This window comes from Homo sapiens, chromosome 7 (assembly GCF_000001405.40).
Source record: "Homo sapiens chromosome 7, GRCh38.p14 Primary Assembly".
Classification (NCBI taxonomy): Eukaryota; Metazoa; Chordata; class Mammalia; order Primates; family Hominidae; genus Homo; species Homo sapiens.
The window spans coordinates 157,493,670-157,508,285 of record NC_000007.14 but is presented as its reverse complement, the minus strand read 5'-3'; the positions used below and the strand labels follow the sequence as shown (position 1 = coordinate 157,508,285).

At 49.9% G+C, this 14,616-nt stretch overlaps 2 long non-coding RNA genes across 4 annotated transcripts in view, besides 1 other annotated feature; both read right to left on the bottom strand.

Annotated features, from left to right (window-relative positions):
- Positions 1-4,379: 4,379 nt before the first annotated feature.
- Positions 4,380-6,880, bottom strand: LOC105375610 (uncharacterized). Of its 3 annotated transcripts, none has more exons than NR_187969.1 (3): positions 6,771-6,880; positions 5,177-5,302; positions 4,380-4,934 (listed from the first exon to the last, which is right to left on the bottom strand). It is a non-coding gene; the product is annotated as an uncharacterized LOC105375610 (long non-coding RNA). The 3 variants fall into 3 exon arrangements; NR_187970.1 differs by lacking the exon at positions 6,771-6,880 and adding an exon at positions 5,944-6,210 and having other exon boundaries at positions 5,177-5,479; NR_187971.1 differs by lacking the exon at positions 6,771-6,880 and adding an exon at positions 5,944-6,210.
- A 1,689-nt stretch (positions 6,881-8,569) lies between these two features.
- LOC101927914 (uncharacterized) overlaps positions 8,570-14,616 on the bottom strand; it is a 33,486-nt gene continuing 27,439 nt past the window's right edge. Inside the window, exon 4 of the long non-coding RNA NR_110157.1 lies at positions 8,570-9,956. This is a non-coding gene — a long non-coding RNA (uncharacterized LOC101927914). The remainder of the gene's footprint in view (positions 9,957-14,616) is intronic.
- Positions 12,323-12,472: an enhancer, noted in NCBI's record as "active region_26930". NCBI's record gives its function as "activates an Ori minimal core promoter by ATAC-STARR-seq in GM12878 lymphoblastoid cells {active_cell/tissue: GM12878}" and the evidence as "EXISTENCE:reporter gene assay evidence [ECO:0000049][PMID:35858748]".

Below are 14,616 nucleotides of genomic sequence, written 5' to 3'. Positions count from 1 at the left end.
TCTCATAATTTAAAACCAGCCCATGCACCATCAGGACCCCTGGGGCTCCTTAATAGCGTCCTGGTCTCTGCACCTGCCTTGTCCCCCGCCCAGGCAGTCCCTGCGGTGCTCACAGACCCTGATGATGAAAGGCCGCAGAACCTCCTCCCAGCCCACCAGGGCTGGCCTCATCCCCAGGAAACAAGCAGCGGGTGTCTGTAATGACTTTCCACACCAGTAAGTGGTCAGCTCCAGAAATAATTACCCACATAAGCAATTTCCCTTTTTATCTAAAGGAGGGAGGGTGTCTTTTGGGTTTGGGGAACAAAAAAATTGCTTTTCATAAGTACTCAATTTAGAATTGTTTGCTAAAATTAAGCGCTTGTTCACCAGACATTTTTAGACTGAGTAATTTTTAACCCATGCCATCTGATAAGTAATCTGTTTGATTAGTTAAAAAAAAAATACTTGCCATATTTCTGCGTGGAATAAATTAAACTTTCTCTGGTCACTGCTCTTGTAGGGAAAGTCAGTGTGCACAGCTTCTGCTGCTGTGTTAGACAATGAACAGGGCTGGTCCTTGGATGGACAGAGACACCACACCCTGCAGGGTCAGCAGGCATGAGGACTGCAGCTCTGCTCTCGGGATTACAACCCAACTGTGGAGGTGAGACCTGCGCATTTACACAAAACCATTAGGAATGGAGGGTGTCAAGAAGAGGGAACCCTTAGAACTGTTAGTGGGAATGTAAATTGATACAGCCATTATGGAAAACAGTATGGAGATGCCTCAAAAAATTAAAAACATAGCCACCATATGATCCAGCAATCCCACTTCTGGGGATATACCCAAAGAAAATGAAATCCAAATCTCAAAGAGATGCCTCCACTCCCGTGTTCACTGGCATATTATTCACAATAGCCAGGATATGGAAACAGCCTAATATCCATGGACGGATAAACAGGTAAAGAGGATGTGGTGTATACCTGTCCCCAGTGGAATTTTACTCAGTCTTTCAAAAGAAGGACATCCTGCCATTTGCAACAACATGGATGAACCTGAAGGACATCATGCTAAGTGAAATAAGCTGATCACAGAGGACAAATACCACAATATCTCACTTATCTGTGGAATCTAAAATAGTGCCACTCATAGGAGCAGAGAGTAGGATGGTGGCAGCCAGGAGCTGGGGTGGGAAAGTTGAGGAAGTGTTGGTCAAAGGGTGCAAAGTTCCAGTTATGCAGGGGGAATAAATTCTGGAGACCTCATGTCCACCATGGTGACTATAGTTCATAATACTGTATTTTATACTTGAAATTTGCTAAAGCGTAGATCTTAGGTGGTAACACAGAACAAGTTTCTCATTTCTATGGATTTATCCTAAGGGTGTATTGTAGTTGGTGCTGTAGGGGCAGCTAAAACCATAATAGAAGTTGTCCTTGCCTGAAGACTGGATGCCAGAGTTCAGGGAAAACACAGCCTCTGGAAAAGGAGGAGAATTTTGAGAGAGAAAGGGAGAGAGAGCCATGAACTCTGCCCAGATCTCTGGCTAGCTCCTGAAACATGCGTGCACAAGGAAGACACAAAGCACACCAGTGGAGAATTTACAAATTTTTCTGAGATTTGAGCTGCCACCCAATAAACAGTTTGCAGTTTGAGATCGATCAGGTTAAACAAACAAATGAACAAATAAACAGGGGTAGAGCAAAATCCAGAGTCTCCAGTTAGGCAGACTCTGGGCGGACTCTAGCTGGTCAGACCCCTGAAACTTTCCCAACCAAAAGGAGACAGGGGAAGTGACACTGTGGTACTCCCAGGCCAGGTCGCCACAGGCAACATGACTTCTGCCTCCAACCCCCGTGCTTGCCCTTCAAACCCAGCCACTGTGTTGTGAGGCAGTCCTGGCCACACGGAGAGCCCACACGTGGGTGTTTGGCCAATAGCCACACTGGGCCCTCAGCCCTCCACTTGCCAGATGTGTGGGTGAGAGCACCTTCAGATGACTCCAACCTTCAGGCTTCAGTATTCCAGCTGAAATGCCAGGCATCCCAGGAGAGACAGTCTGTCCTCACAGTGCCCTGTGTGGATTCTGGCCCACAGAAACCACAGACAGGTAATAAATTATGATTATTGTTTAACCCCCAACTGTTTGGGGGGTAATTTGTTATGCAGCAATGGATAACTAACAAGAACCTCAGGAACTTGAAAGACCACATCAAATGTTAAACATCCATGGAACTGGAGTCCCATAAAAAGAGGAGAGAAGGGGGCAAAAAATATTTGAAGATGTAATTGTCCAAAAATGCCCAAATTTGGTGAAAGACATAATTTTACAACTTTAAGAAGCTCCATAAGCCTCAAGATCAATAAATACAAAGAAAAACAAGCCAAAAAAATCTGGAACACAGCAAATGAAAAATGACACATTATATAGAGAGAAGTAGCAACTCCAGGTACTACTGACGTCTCATCAGAAACTATGGAAGCCAGAATATGGTGGAACAACCACCCAAACAAGCTAAAAGAAAAAAAATAGTCACACAAACTTATACAACCAGTAAAAAATGTCTTTTCAAGATAAATGTAAAATTAAAACATTTTCAGATAAAAGAAGGCTATAATAATTCATTGCCAACAGATCTGGACTACAAGAAATGCTAGAGGAGGTTTTTGAGGCTAAAGAGAAATAATACCAGATGGAAACTTGCACCTTTGGGAAAGAATGAAGAAATCTGAAATTGTAAATAGCTGGATAAATACAAAAGACTAATTTTCCTTTTAATTTAAGACTGTTCAAAGCATGTGACTGTTCAAAGCAAAAAGTAAAACATTTTCTTGTGAGGCTTATAAAGTATGTGGATGTAATACCTATGGCAACTATAGCATTAAAAAACGGAGGAAGGGGAAGCAGATGGACTTATTTTGCTGCAAGGTTTACAAATGTACATAAGATGTTACACTATTAACCCTAAGAAAACTCTAAGGATGTGCACTGGAATTCCATTAGCCGCCACTTAAAAATGCCGAGAGTATTTATAGCTAAAAAGTCAATAAAACCAGTACAATGGAATTCTAAAAAACATTAACATAATTCAAATGAAGGCAGAATAGGAGGAACAGAGAACCACAACAGAGGAAACAAACAGAAAACAAATAATAAAAGATGCTTAGCTGAGTGTGGTGGCACGTGCTGGTAGTCTAGCTACTTGGGAGGCTGAGATGGGAGGATTGCTTGACCCTGGGAGGCTGAGCCTGCAGTGAGCCATGATCATGCCACTGTACTCAGCCTGGGTGGCAGAGTGAGACTCTGTCCCCTGTCTCCCAAAAAGTAGGCCTAAATCCAACCATATGAACAACTACATTGAATATGAATAGAATAAACACTCCAATTAGAAGACAGATTGTCAGACAGTTTTTGAAAGCAAGATTCAACTATATACTATCTCTAAAAGATTTGCTTTATTTTTTGTCTAATTAGATTGTAGTGTTCTTAGAGATTCACTTTAAATATGAAGACATATTGATTGAAAGTAAATGAAAGGAAAAGAAAATACCATGCAAACAGTAAGTATACGAATACTAGAGAAGCTCTGTGAATATCAGATAAAATAGACATTTAGACAAAATGTATTATTAGAAATAAAGAGGGACGCTTCATAATGCTGAAGGGAAGGCTCTTCAGAAAGACCTGACAGTCGTAGAGTTGAACCCACCTTGTAACAGCTTCTGAACACATGATGCAAACATCCAGAGTTAAAGGGAGAAATAAATGATTCCACAATCATAATTAGGGACTTCAACATCCCTCAACAAAAATATCAGTAAAGACAAATATCTGAACAACACCATCCATCACCTTGACCCAAATGATGAACACTGCACCCACCGCCTGGAAAATACACATTCTTCTCCACTGCACGTGGCACATTCCACAAGAGAAAGCAGATGCTGGGCCAAAAATGAAATCCAGTGACATTAACAGCATTAAAATAAGGGTGTTGGGACCATGCGTGGTGGTTCACGCCTGTAATCCCAGCACTTTGGGAGGCCAAGGGAGGGCGGATGACCTGAGGTCAGGAGTTCAAGACCAGCCTGACCAACATGGAGAAAACCCGTCTCTACTAAAAATACAAAATTAGGCGGACATGGTGGCGCATGCCTGTAATCCCAGCTACTCAGGAGGCTGAGGCAAAAGAATCATTTGAACCTGGGAGGCAGAGGTTGCAGTGAGCTGAGATCGTGCCATTGCACTCCAGCCTGGGCAACAAGAGCAAAACTCAGTCTCAGAAAAAAAAATAAAATAAATGTGTTGGACTTGGATGGTCTCTAAGATTTACCATGTTAAACTTCAAATGAAGTGGCGTAACTCTAAGTACTAAAAGAGCTTGAGAGCGAGAGAGAGAACAACAGAGGGAGAACCCATTTCTTTATAGGTGCCATTGAGGAGAAGTTGGAGAATTAAAGCATCTCATGGGAGGAGTAAATCAGATAAAACTTCAAGGGCCTCCTCTGGCCCCATGATTCTGTGATTGTGTGTGATTTCCAGGCGCTATGCTGGGCACCTCATGCACGTGGGCTGTTTCATGCCCACAGCAGCTTTGGGAGGTAGAAAGCATGATTTCTGTCTTGCAAGCTGTTTGGAAAGATTAATTTTTCCTTCACCAGCAGTAAGTGGCAGAACCAAGGCAGGATTACAATCTCACATGATCTCAAAGCTCAGATGATTAACCACAGTCTGTATTTTTGTATTAGACCAATTGAGGCTCACAGGCAAAACTTTGATGCCCTGAAGATCCTAGAATGACTTAAAAATGATCGAAGGATGCTTTCACTTTAGCACGATTCCCCCAGCACACCATTGCCTCATTGTCTTCCTGTCCTTGCAGCCTCTGCTCCTGGAGATGGGGGGCTGGGTTTACCTGGTTCAGCAGCACTTCCCTGGAACAAACTACGTCTGGTACACAGAATAGGCAGTTAATCCATGTGAGTTAAATAAGTAAATAGAATTAACAGATAAATTGCATTTTAATGTAAGGCAAATCCTGAAATGCAAACCTCCAACTGCTGCGTGCCCCTCCAAAAACACCAGGCATCCTGGGAGAGACAATCTGTCTTCCGCAGACCCTGGCTTTCCCATGTAGACCCTTCCGGGTTTCCTCTCCTTTTTCCCATTCTGATTTTTAATGCTGGACTCACCCAAGCTGTCCTAAAACAGCAACAGGAAGTGCACGACGCACCACCTCTTCCTCACCGCTTCCTCCGGCAGGCAAAGGCTCCCTGTGCTGTCGGCATTAGTCAGGATACGTCACAGTAGCCATGGTACTAAAAAAAAACAAAAAACCCTGAACCTCAGGGGCTCACAGAAGAGGTTTCCTGCTTGCTCGTGCAACGTCCACTGGGAAGTGGAGTCCTCTTGAGGCTTGTCTCCACGTGGTGACTCAGGGCCATGCTGCCTGCATGTTGTGATGTATCATGTCCCCGACGTGGCCTTTGCTCCTGCTGCAGAGGGAAGAGAGGGCTGAGAGGCTGGTGGGATGTTTTAGGGCCAGGCCTGGACACAGGTCACACAGGAGGCCCCAGCGGACTCCAGAGAAGGTGGGACAGTGCAGTCTTCCTGTGCTCAGGAGAGGACCCAGCATGGTGAACTAAGCTGCCCCTGACACACCAGCTGGCTCAATGCTCAGCTGAGAAAACTCTTCCTTCTCACAGGGGTTTCCTGGGCAAGTCCTCCGCAACCACTCCACCCCCTCCCTCTTCTGCCTCTGGCCTCTGCTCTCCAGGGAAGTCTCCGCAGATGCCTGTCTCTCTCCCTTCCTCTGTTTCCCTGTTTCCCCTCCTTGTAAATTAAAAACTTCTCTGATTACTTCTGAAAATCATAAGAATAAGGCTAATATTCAATTTTTACAAAACAAAGTTAAGCCATAAATCTCGAAGTGCAGCTAGACATATTAATGAAACAGCACCTTTTATCTCGAACGCCCTTGGACGGATCCCGGCTTCCCTTCGGAATATCGACGGCTCACCTTCCATGGCCTCCCATGATCATGTTTTTCATTTGACCACCAGGGATCAAAATAACTTTTAAAAAAGCAATTGTATTCTGTTCTGTCTAATTACTGGTGTTTCCCCCTATGGTTTTCTACTATTAAGGGTTTCTAGGAGCCGGCCTGGGAATCTCAACGGCATTTATGACGTTGTCATTGTGGAAAACACGTTCTGAATTTGAAACAACCGGTGCACCCACACACTTCATATTTGGAAGTAAGGCCCCTTCTGTATTTTAACTCTTTGGAAAGTTGTAAAGTATATATGGTAAATGGAGTAACTTGCAACTATCTAAAATATTAACTAGAGCAATGGTTTTCTGACCATTTCGCTCAATAGAAGCTGCTGTCGTAAAGAAACTCAGACCCCTCACGTGTTCAGAAATGACGTCCCTTCCAGCAAGAGCTGGAACGTTTTCAGACCTGTCTTCAATGCCCCGCCCACAGCGGAACGATGTGGCTGGGTGTCTCAGACGCCACGGCTCACCCTGAAGCCACAAAAGCTAATAAGCGACTGAAACACGTGGAAATCCCCATACAACGCTGGAAACTGGAAACGCTGGAAACGTGCAGGCTGTTAGTGATCAGAGAAACAAACGTGCACAATGGCTCTGAGCGAACGGCAGTGCACGCAGTAATTCTCCAAACGACGGCAAAAGCTGTGTGCCAGGTTCTACCGGTAAATTTGGAGGTTTCGCAGTTGCAAGGTGTCTTCCCATCACCTCGGCAAACTTGCCTTCCTTTACCTTAAAAGCCAGTTTCTCCTTGGCTTCCAAGAGCTGGATCTCTAAATATTTTCATGTGGAAAACGAAATCCAAATAATGACTGAAAGCGCAGCCTCCCGCACGCAGAGCATCTGCCCAGGGCCACCTTCTGCTCCTCAGGCCCCGAGCCCCGGAGGGTGGAGTACGTGCCAGCCGAGGTGCCCGTCATGCCCCGAGCCCCGGAGGGTGGAGTGCGTGCCAGCCGAGGTGCCCGTCATGCCCCGAGCCCCGGAGGGTGGAGTACGTGCCAGCCGAGGTGCCCGTCATGCCCCGAGCCCCGGAGGGTGGAGTACGTGCCAGCCGAGGTGCCCGTCATGCCCCGAGCCCCGGAGGGAGTACGTGCCAGCCGAGGTGCCCGTCATGCCCCGAGCCCCGGAGGGTGGAGTACGTGCCAGCCGAGGTGCCCGTCATGCCCCGAGCCCCGGAGGGTGGAGTACGTGCCAGCCGAGGTGCCCGTCATGCCCCGAGCCCCGGAGGGTGGAGTACGTGCCAGCCGAGGTGCCCGTCATGCCCCGAGCCCTGGAGGGTGGAGTACGTGCCAGCCGAGGTGCCCGTCATGCCCCGAGCCCTGGAGGGTGGAGTACGTGCCAGCCGAGGTGCCTGAGCTCAAGTGGCCTCTGGTCACCGTCATGTGAGGATTGGCTGCGTGGGCGTGGGGCCTTTGAGCCCGCACTGGCAGAGGGCCGAACCCGGGGTGCTGGCCACTGGCCGGTGGCTGAAGGCGGGCAGCTCCCGACAATCCAAGTGCTTCATGTCCCTGGGGCTGGCGGGGAGAACAAGGGGAGGGAGGAGGCAATGGTGGAGTTAAGAGAAGGAGAAAGTGTGGGAGCGGGTGGAGAAGGGCACAGCTCCTGGCTCCTAGAACAGCGCCTGGTACAGAGGCACTCAAGTATTTGCTTATTTTAAATTAACATAATAATAGGCCGGGCGCGGTGGCTCACGCCTGTAATCCCAACACTTTGGGAGGCTAGGTGGGTGAATCACTTGAGCCCAGGAGTTAAAGACCAGCCTGGCCAACATGGTGAAAAGCCATCTCTACAAAAAAAAATACAAAAATTACCCAGGTGTGGTGGCGTGCGCCTATAATTCCAGCTACTCAGGAGGCTGAGGCTGGAGAATCGCTTGAGCCCAGTAGGCAGCAGTTGCAGTGAGCCGAGCGCGTGCCACCGCACTCCAGCCTGGGTGACGTGAGTGAAACCGTGTCTCAAAATAAATAAATAAAAATAAATGTTACATAATAAAAGAATTTTAAGTCTGGGAGATCTTTTAAAGATTATCAGTTTCCAGCCCCACACACATTCCGCCTCTCCGATGCATGCACACACACACGTGCACATTTGCACTCCCACAGATGCACACGAGGCACACACACGTGCACGGGCACACACACACACACACACACACACACAGATGTGTGCACAGACAGGGATGAGGAAGCCGTGGCCCAAAAAGCCCACCTAATTCTCCCAAGCGGACACGTAGGTGGCATCCAGGAGAAGGGGGGAATGCTCACCCAGAACCCATCAGAGCCCCACACACCATGGATGTGTGAGGAGACTCCGCTGGCCAGCGGGCACCTTTCCCAGAACAGCAGTTCCCCTGGTAGAGTGCTGGTCATCCAGTGACATGCTCAGAAGAGAGAATTCAGCCGTAAATCTGGAGGCCACGCGAACCACATTAAGGAGCCAGTGCGAGGTCCCTGCAGAACTGCTGGCCGCACCAGCCCAGGGGAGCCCTCCTCTGCTCACCTGTGCTTCTCCTAGGGACCCAACAGTGCCCAGGGATAAGAGAAGCCCCCCCAACCCAGAAGGAAGTCGCCTCCCACACGTGACAGTGCTTAACAAACGAGTCTGTCAGTCATGTCAGGCAGCTACTGTCACCCCACTTTACAGACGAGGATGCTGGGGCTCGGAGAGGTGGGTGGCTGTTCAGGTCACAGGGTCAGCAAAGCACCAAAGCTTCCAGTGAGCACTGTGTGGCTGGCTCAGACACCCCGCTTGACCCCGCCGCCTTGCTGGCTGAGGCCTCAGCCTCAGAGGAGCAGGATGACAGCCCTCGTCCTCTGCAAACAGCAGATCAGGGCAGAAGTGTTCCTTCTGCGGGGTCACCTCCTGTGGGGTGAGCAGGCCACACCTCTGTGCTCACAGATAAACCGGAGTCAGCCCACCACACGCGCTCTGTCGTGGGAAAAGCATTTTTATCCGTGCCCCTCCAGCTCGTGGACCCTGTGGACAGAGCCAGCCACGAGGCTGCGAGACACCTGGGCCAACCAGGGCTCCCGGCTCCTCCAGACGGAAGCACAGACATGCTCGGCTCACTCACGTCCTCAGAACAGGGTCTTATTTTTGTGCAGGAGCAAAACTCCACTATTTCCGAGGGACTCCTGCCATACCCCCACTCTCCTATGAAATGGAAAACTCACTTCCAACCTGATACACTCTTTTGTTGGCAGGAAGACTGGGCATGATGTCACCACAAATTCTGCCTCATTTCCAGAGGCACACAGGGCACCGCCCTGCGCAGAGGCCTCTTGAGAGCCTCCCTCCCTGCCCGGCGCAGGTCACACATGCATTGCCACCTCCTGATCGTCCTTTGTGCAGCGTTAAAGCTCCCACAATGACGCCCCATCCTTCTTTGTCTCCCACGAAGGGCCTCCTCCGTTGAATTCTGAAGGTCATTTCCAGCTGAGGCCCCAGGCCTGAGTAGTGACTAATTCGATTCACTTTGTGTTTCACTGCTGCTGTTTTGTGCCCGTCTTCACCAGGCCCAGAGCTGGAGGCTGAGCGCTGGGAAGAAGGTACTTTTCATCTTCCTGTCCAGGGTTATGTGGCTGGTGGATCCGAAGTGATGGGTTTTCAATGGCCGCTTAGCTTTCCTAGTTTTATAGGCTGTTCCCACATGTAGACGCCAAGCGCTTGTTGACACAGTCAATGAGATGCAAGTCAATACCATAAACGTTGCTGATGAGGGATTCTCCCTGCCTCCCGCCTCCTGGCATTTCGATTTTTCCAACAGCATAAAGAGGGTGTCAGTGCAAGATTAATGCAGAGCGGGAGGGGACAGGGCGTGCGGGGAGCTGCAGCCGATGTCTCCAGGCTGAGAGTGTTTCCGAGCGTGGGCCGGGGCCTCGGCTCCTCTGGCTTTTACGCCCCCCAGAAGCCAGGACTCTGAGGGTGGGAGGATGGACGTGGTCCACTCTCGGGCCACCAAAAACCGGGTCAGGGTCAAAGGGAGATGCAGCAGCTTGTTGAGTGGATGAGGGTTGTGCGGGGTCAGGGGGCAAGGGTCATGCGGGGTCAGGAGTGAGGGGGAAACCCCCTCCCAGCCCGTGGCCAGCAAGCCAACACTCATTAACACTCCATTTCTCACCCGAGCACCTGGGTGTGGGAAAGAATGAGGTTTAGCGAGTTGAGTGAGGGAGAGGGAGTTTGGAAATGGCACCGCAGATGATCGATGCTCCTAATAAGCCCTGAGCTATGAGGCCCCATGCGGACACAGCACCTCCATCGCTGGCACACCTGCCCCAACCAAGCCCTGCTTTCATTCACAAAATGCCAGGCTGGAGGGGTGGGTGGCAAGGCCCAGAGACAGACAGTGTCGCCTCTTACGGGTGCCACCCCCAGCCCTGGCACAGCCTGGGTGATGGGCACCAGGCCGCATGCGGTGAGCCGGAGCTCAAAGAGGGGTGCCAATGGGAGGGTTTCAGGCCTGGCCAAGAGTGGGTCCGCCTCAGTCCTCCCTCCCCAGCCCCCAAAATACACACATACCCCCTACATCAAAGCAAAAAGAATATGGCTGGCACCCCTCATCCGTCAGGAAGGTCTAGATGTGGCAGCAGGGCCCGGCCTCTGTCTGCAGGGGGTTTCTCCATGTTTCCTTTAATCTCCTTCAAACCACAGAGCGCACATCCTTTAGGGTGTGGGCCTGGCGGCTGCGGGACAGCCCCAGCTAGAGGTGATCCGAGGTGCCAAACATGCCTCCGCACTGCGGTGACAGTTGGACACAGCCTCCCTGTCACCATCCTCCTGTGAGCATCTGTAAACTAAATCCACTTTCAGACCCATTCCCATTAAAACAGAGCTCCTTCTGGGAGAAAAAAATTTCAAACAGCTGAGGGGTTTTTTCTTTTAATAAATAATTATGTAAATACCTTCATGGAACAAAATTCTCTACTCCATATTCAGAAATGCAAAATAAACAGCCCCCCAACCTTCAGAAACAGAGGTCAGACAGCAAGTCACCCCAAAGTGTCCTAGAAATGAAGGCAGAAAACGCATTGCTGAAGCTACAGGAATCCAGAAAAGGGGACGTCCACGCTGGTGGGAAGGTGCAGGGAGAGCAGAGGGAGGGCTGGGTCTCGGGCAGCACCCGTGAGCGGGGAGGAGGAGAGAACTCGGGGCTCTCCAGGGTGGGCAGGGAGGGGCAGGAGCTTGGCTTCACAAACCTGCCCCCGGGCTGGGCAGGGGCCACAAGCTCCGAAGTGGAGCCTGAACCCCGGTGTAGACGGGTTTGGATGTCGGGCCAAGGATTTGGAGTTTTTTCCTGGAGGCCACTGGGAGCTGTTAAATGGATTTAAACAGAGACTGGGACAGAAATAAATCAAACGTGGTGGGACTGAAACGTCTTGGCAAACAAGAGCCTGAGCTAGTGCCCAGCGGGCTGGACGGCCGGGGGTGCTCCTCTTGGCAGCCCCCGGCCCACCCCAAGCATCGCGGTATTGCCCCAACTGCCCTGCTACGGACCAATATGCCCTAGGCCTTAAACCTTTTCACCATGACTGGGGCTGCCCTGAACCTGTAGTAATGGGCCTGGAGACGTCTGTTCCTCAACTTTCATACGGTTAAAGACGACAAGGGCTGAATTCTTTCACTGCCAATAAGCACTGCCGTCACTCATACAGCGGGGAGGGTTGTCGATCGCGTGTGTTGTCTATTTCACCCATCCTGTAAGTTCACAGTTCTGCCTCAGTGCACATGCTTGGCTTTGGGAAGGACAAACAAGTTCCCAGTGACAGTGGCTGAGTCCTAGGAAGATGTATGAACGCCTGGGCTGGGAAGGAGACGCCCCCTTCCCCCTTCCCCTGTTGGAAGCCCCTCTGGTGTGCACGTGCCATGCCTTAATACAAGAAGAAGAGTTCATTAAAACGTAGTGAACTACACTGTGAGAAGGACAAACACATCTGTCTATTGCATTAGAAATAACGTGCAAGGAAGCCCCTAGAAAAAGTGTGATATAAATGTAAGGGGTTGGCCAGGCACGATGGCTCACGCCTGTAATCCCAGCACTTTGGGAGGCCAAGGCAGGTGGATCACTTGAGGTCAGGAGTTGGAGACCAGCCTGACCAACATAGTGAAACCCTGTCTCTACTAAAAACACAGAATCAGCTGGGCATGGTGGTGCACCTGTAATCCCAGCTACTTGGGAAGCTGAGGCAGGAGAATCGCTTGAACCCGGGAGGCGGAGGTTGCATTGAACTGAGATCACGCCACTGCACTCCAGCCTGGGCAACAGAGCAAGACTCCATCTCAGATAAATAAATAAATACATAAATACATAAATGTAAGAGGCTACGCTTGTGTGGCTGGAGATTCTTGGACTTACCCAGGGGGTTTCCCACCTGCCACGTTTTTTCCCTTTCTCAATCTGCTGCACTAAAACCCCAGTCACAGCACAGCGTCCTGAGAGTGTGTTCACACCCTCTCTCCTCCACTCGGCTGGGAACAGTTTTACGGCAGGGATTCGCTTCTCGTCCCACTTGGCCTCCCGCAGCCATGCCCGTAGCAGGCAGTGGTCGGGTGCCTGCTGAATGTGGGAAACAGCACTTCCCGTCCTTCCCCGGCACTGGTGGCCCACCTTTAAAATTATTATTATTTCTATCCATCCTTGTTCCGGAGGGATCTAAGGCCTCTTTGATCAAAACTTCACAGAGACTGATTTCCCCGGACTCCTGGATTAGCTAAGAGAGCCAGAAGCTTAAAATTATAAATTTATCCACTCAATCAACAACTATTTATTCAACTCTAAGTGCTGGGAATGGATTCAGTTCCATGAAGGTCGTGAGTTTCTACATCCAACTTCACCCTTGACTTTCTGAGGAAGCCCGAATTTTGCTCATCAATCACAGGTGGTTTTGATATGAGCAAAAGCCACCCACTGTTTTCTGTATGATCAGAGGAGGATGGTGGTCAAGAAACCTTTTACTCATTCTTTGGAAAAGAGCTGCTGAAAATGCAAGTTGTATTTATCTCATCTTATCATCTCCCCAATGCTAACCCCAATAACATTTTCCAAAGGAGATATTCCATCCTAGACTTTCAGTTTCTCCATAGTATTTAAGAAAATCCATCCAACCCACCAGGGGATGCTGAGGGGGCATGCTCTACCTCCCACCAGCAGTCTGTCCTGGCAGGTCAGTTTCCAGCCCCGGGACTCAGATTGGTCAGCATTAAAATGAAGAGGTGGATGTGGCCAAAGCCCCTCCCAGCTCTGGAGCTCTGGAGCTCCGATTGTCTGTTTCATAGGAGAGGGCCGAGTGAAGCCATTTGGCCTAGGCAAATGCCCTTCTCAGTGATGCCTCTTAAAGAAACTCCCCAAGAGTGATGGGCTAGGGATTCAGTGCCACAGCCCCCAGGCCTTATCAGGCCGCTCTTCGGAGGTGGGAGGCAGACAGGACCACTTAGGCAAGGCCATGCCCCAACATGCCAGCCGTGCGGGAGCTGCATGAGTGGACAGGCTCAGGTGGCTGCTGTGGTCTGGGTATTTGGCCCTCCAAGCCTCGTGTTGAAACTGAATCCCAGTGCTGGAGGTGGGGCCTGGTGGGAGGTGTTTGGGTCATGGGGACAGATACCTCATGCATGGCTCGGTGCTGGCCTGGCCCTCGTGGTAACGAGTCAGTGAGTCTCACTCTAGTCGTCCCTGTGAAACCTGTTTATTAAAGAAACCTGGTGCCTCCCTGACTCTTGCTTCCCTCTCACCATGAGAACTCTGCACACGCAGGCTCCCCTTCACCTTCTGCCAAGAGTGAAGCTTCCCAAGGCCCTCATCAGAAGCCAGTGCTGGCACCATGCTTCCTGTACAGTCTGCAGAACCATGAGCCACATAAACCTCTTTTCTGTGTAAGTTTCCCAGCCTCAGGTGTTCCTTCATAGCAACGCAAATGGACTAAGACAGTGCCCTTGTCAACAGTTTTTCCTTCTAGTATTATTAATCCATTCATTCAGCAATTGCCTATTGGAATATGCAAGACTCTTTTATAAATGATGGGGATACGCCAGTTATGATCAGGATGAACAAAATTCCTACCCACATCCCATCATAGTATAGAGGAGAGAAAACGGGTCATGTATAAGGTCACATTGTGAAAAGGCAATGGAGAAAAATGAAGCAGGATGATACAGGGGTGCAGGGGGCAGAGAAGGCCTCTCTGAGATGGAGGGATTCGGGGAGGACTGGCTGTGGAGACAGGAACACCTTCCCAGTCAAGGAGCCCGCGAGTGTGAGGTCTGAGATGTGGATGAGAGACAGTTCCTGGAGCATAGGGGGCCTGGGCTGGGGAGGGAGTAGTCAAGATGCTGAAAAGAGATCATGCTCTGAGCAGCTCTGGGCATGAAGCAGGCAGCAGCTACTGCTGATTTGGCAAGCAAAGGTGTGGTTTGGATGTGGGAGAGGGAAGAAAGGAGAGGAGTCAAGGATGATTCTTAATATTTGGGCTCAAGCAACTCTGTGAATGACAATGTCACTGAGATGGAATTCTGGCATAAATGCCTTGTTCTAGAACAGTCTATAATTCTATTTTTTTTTTCAGAGGCAGAAAGCTTCCCTGGGCTC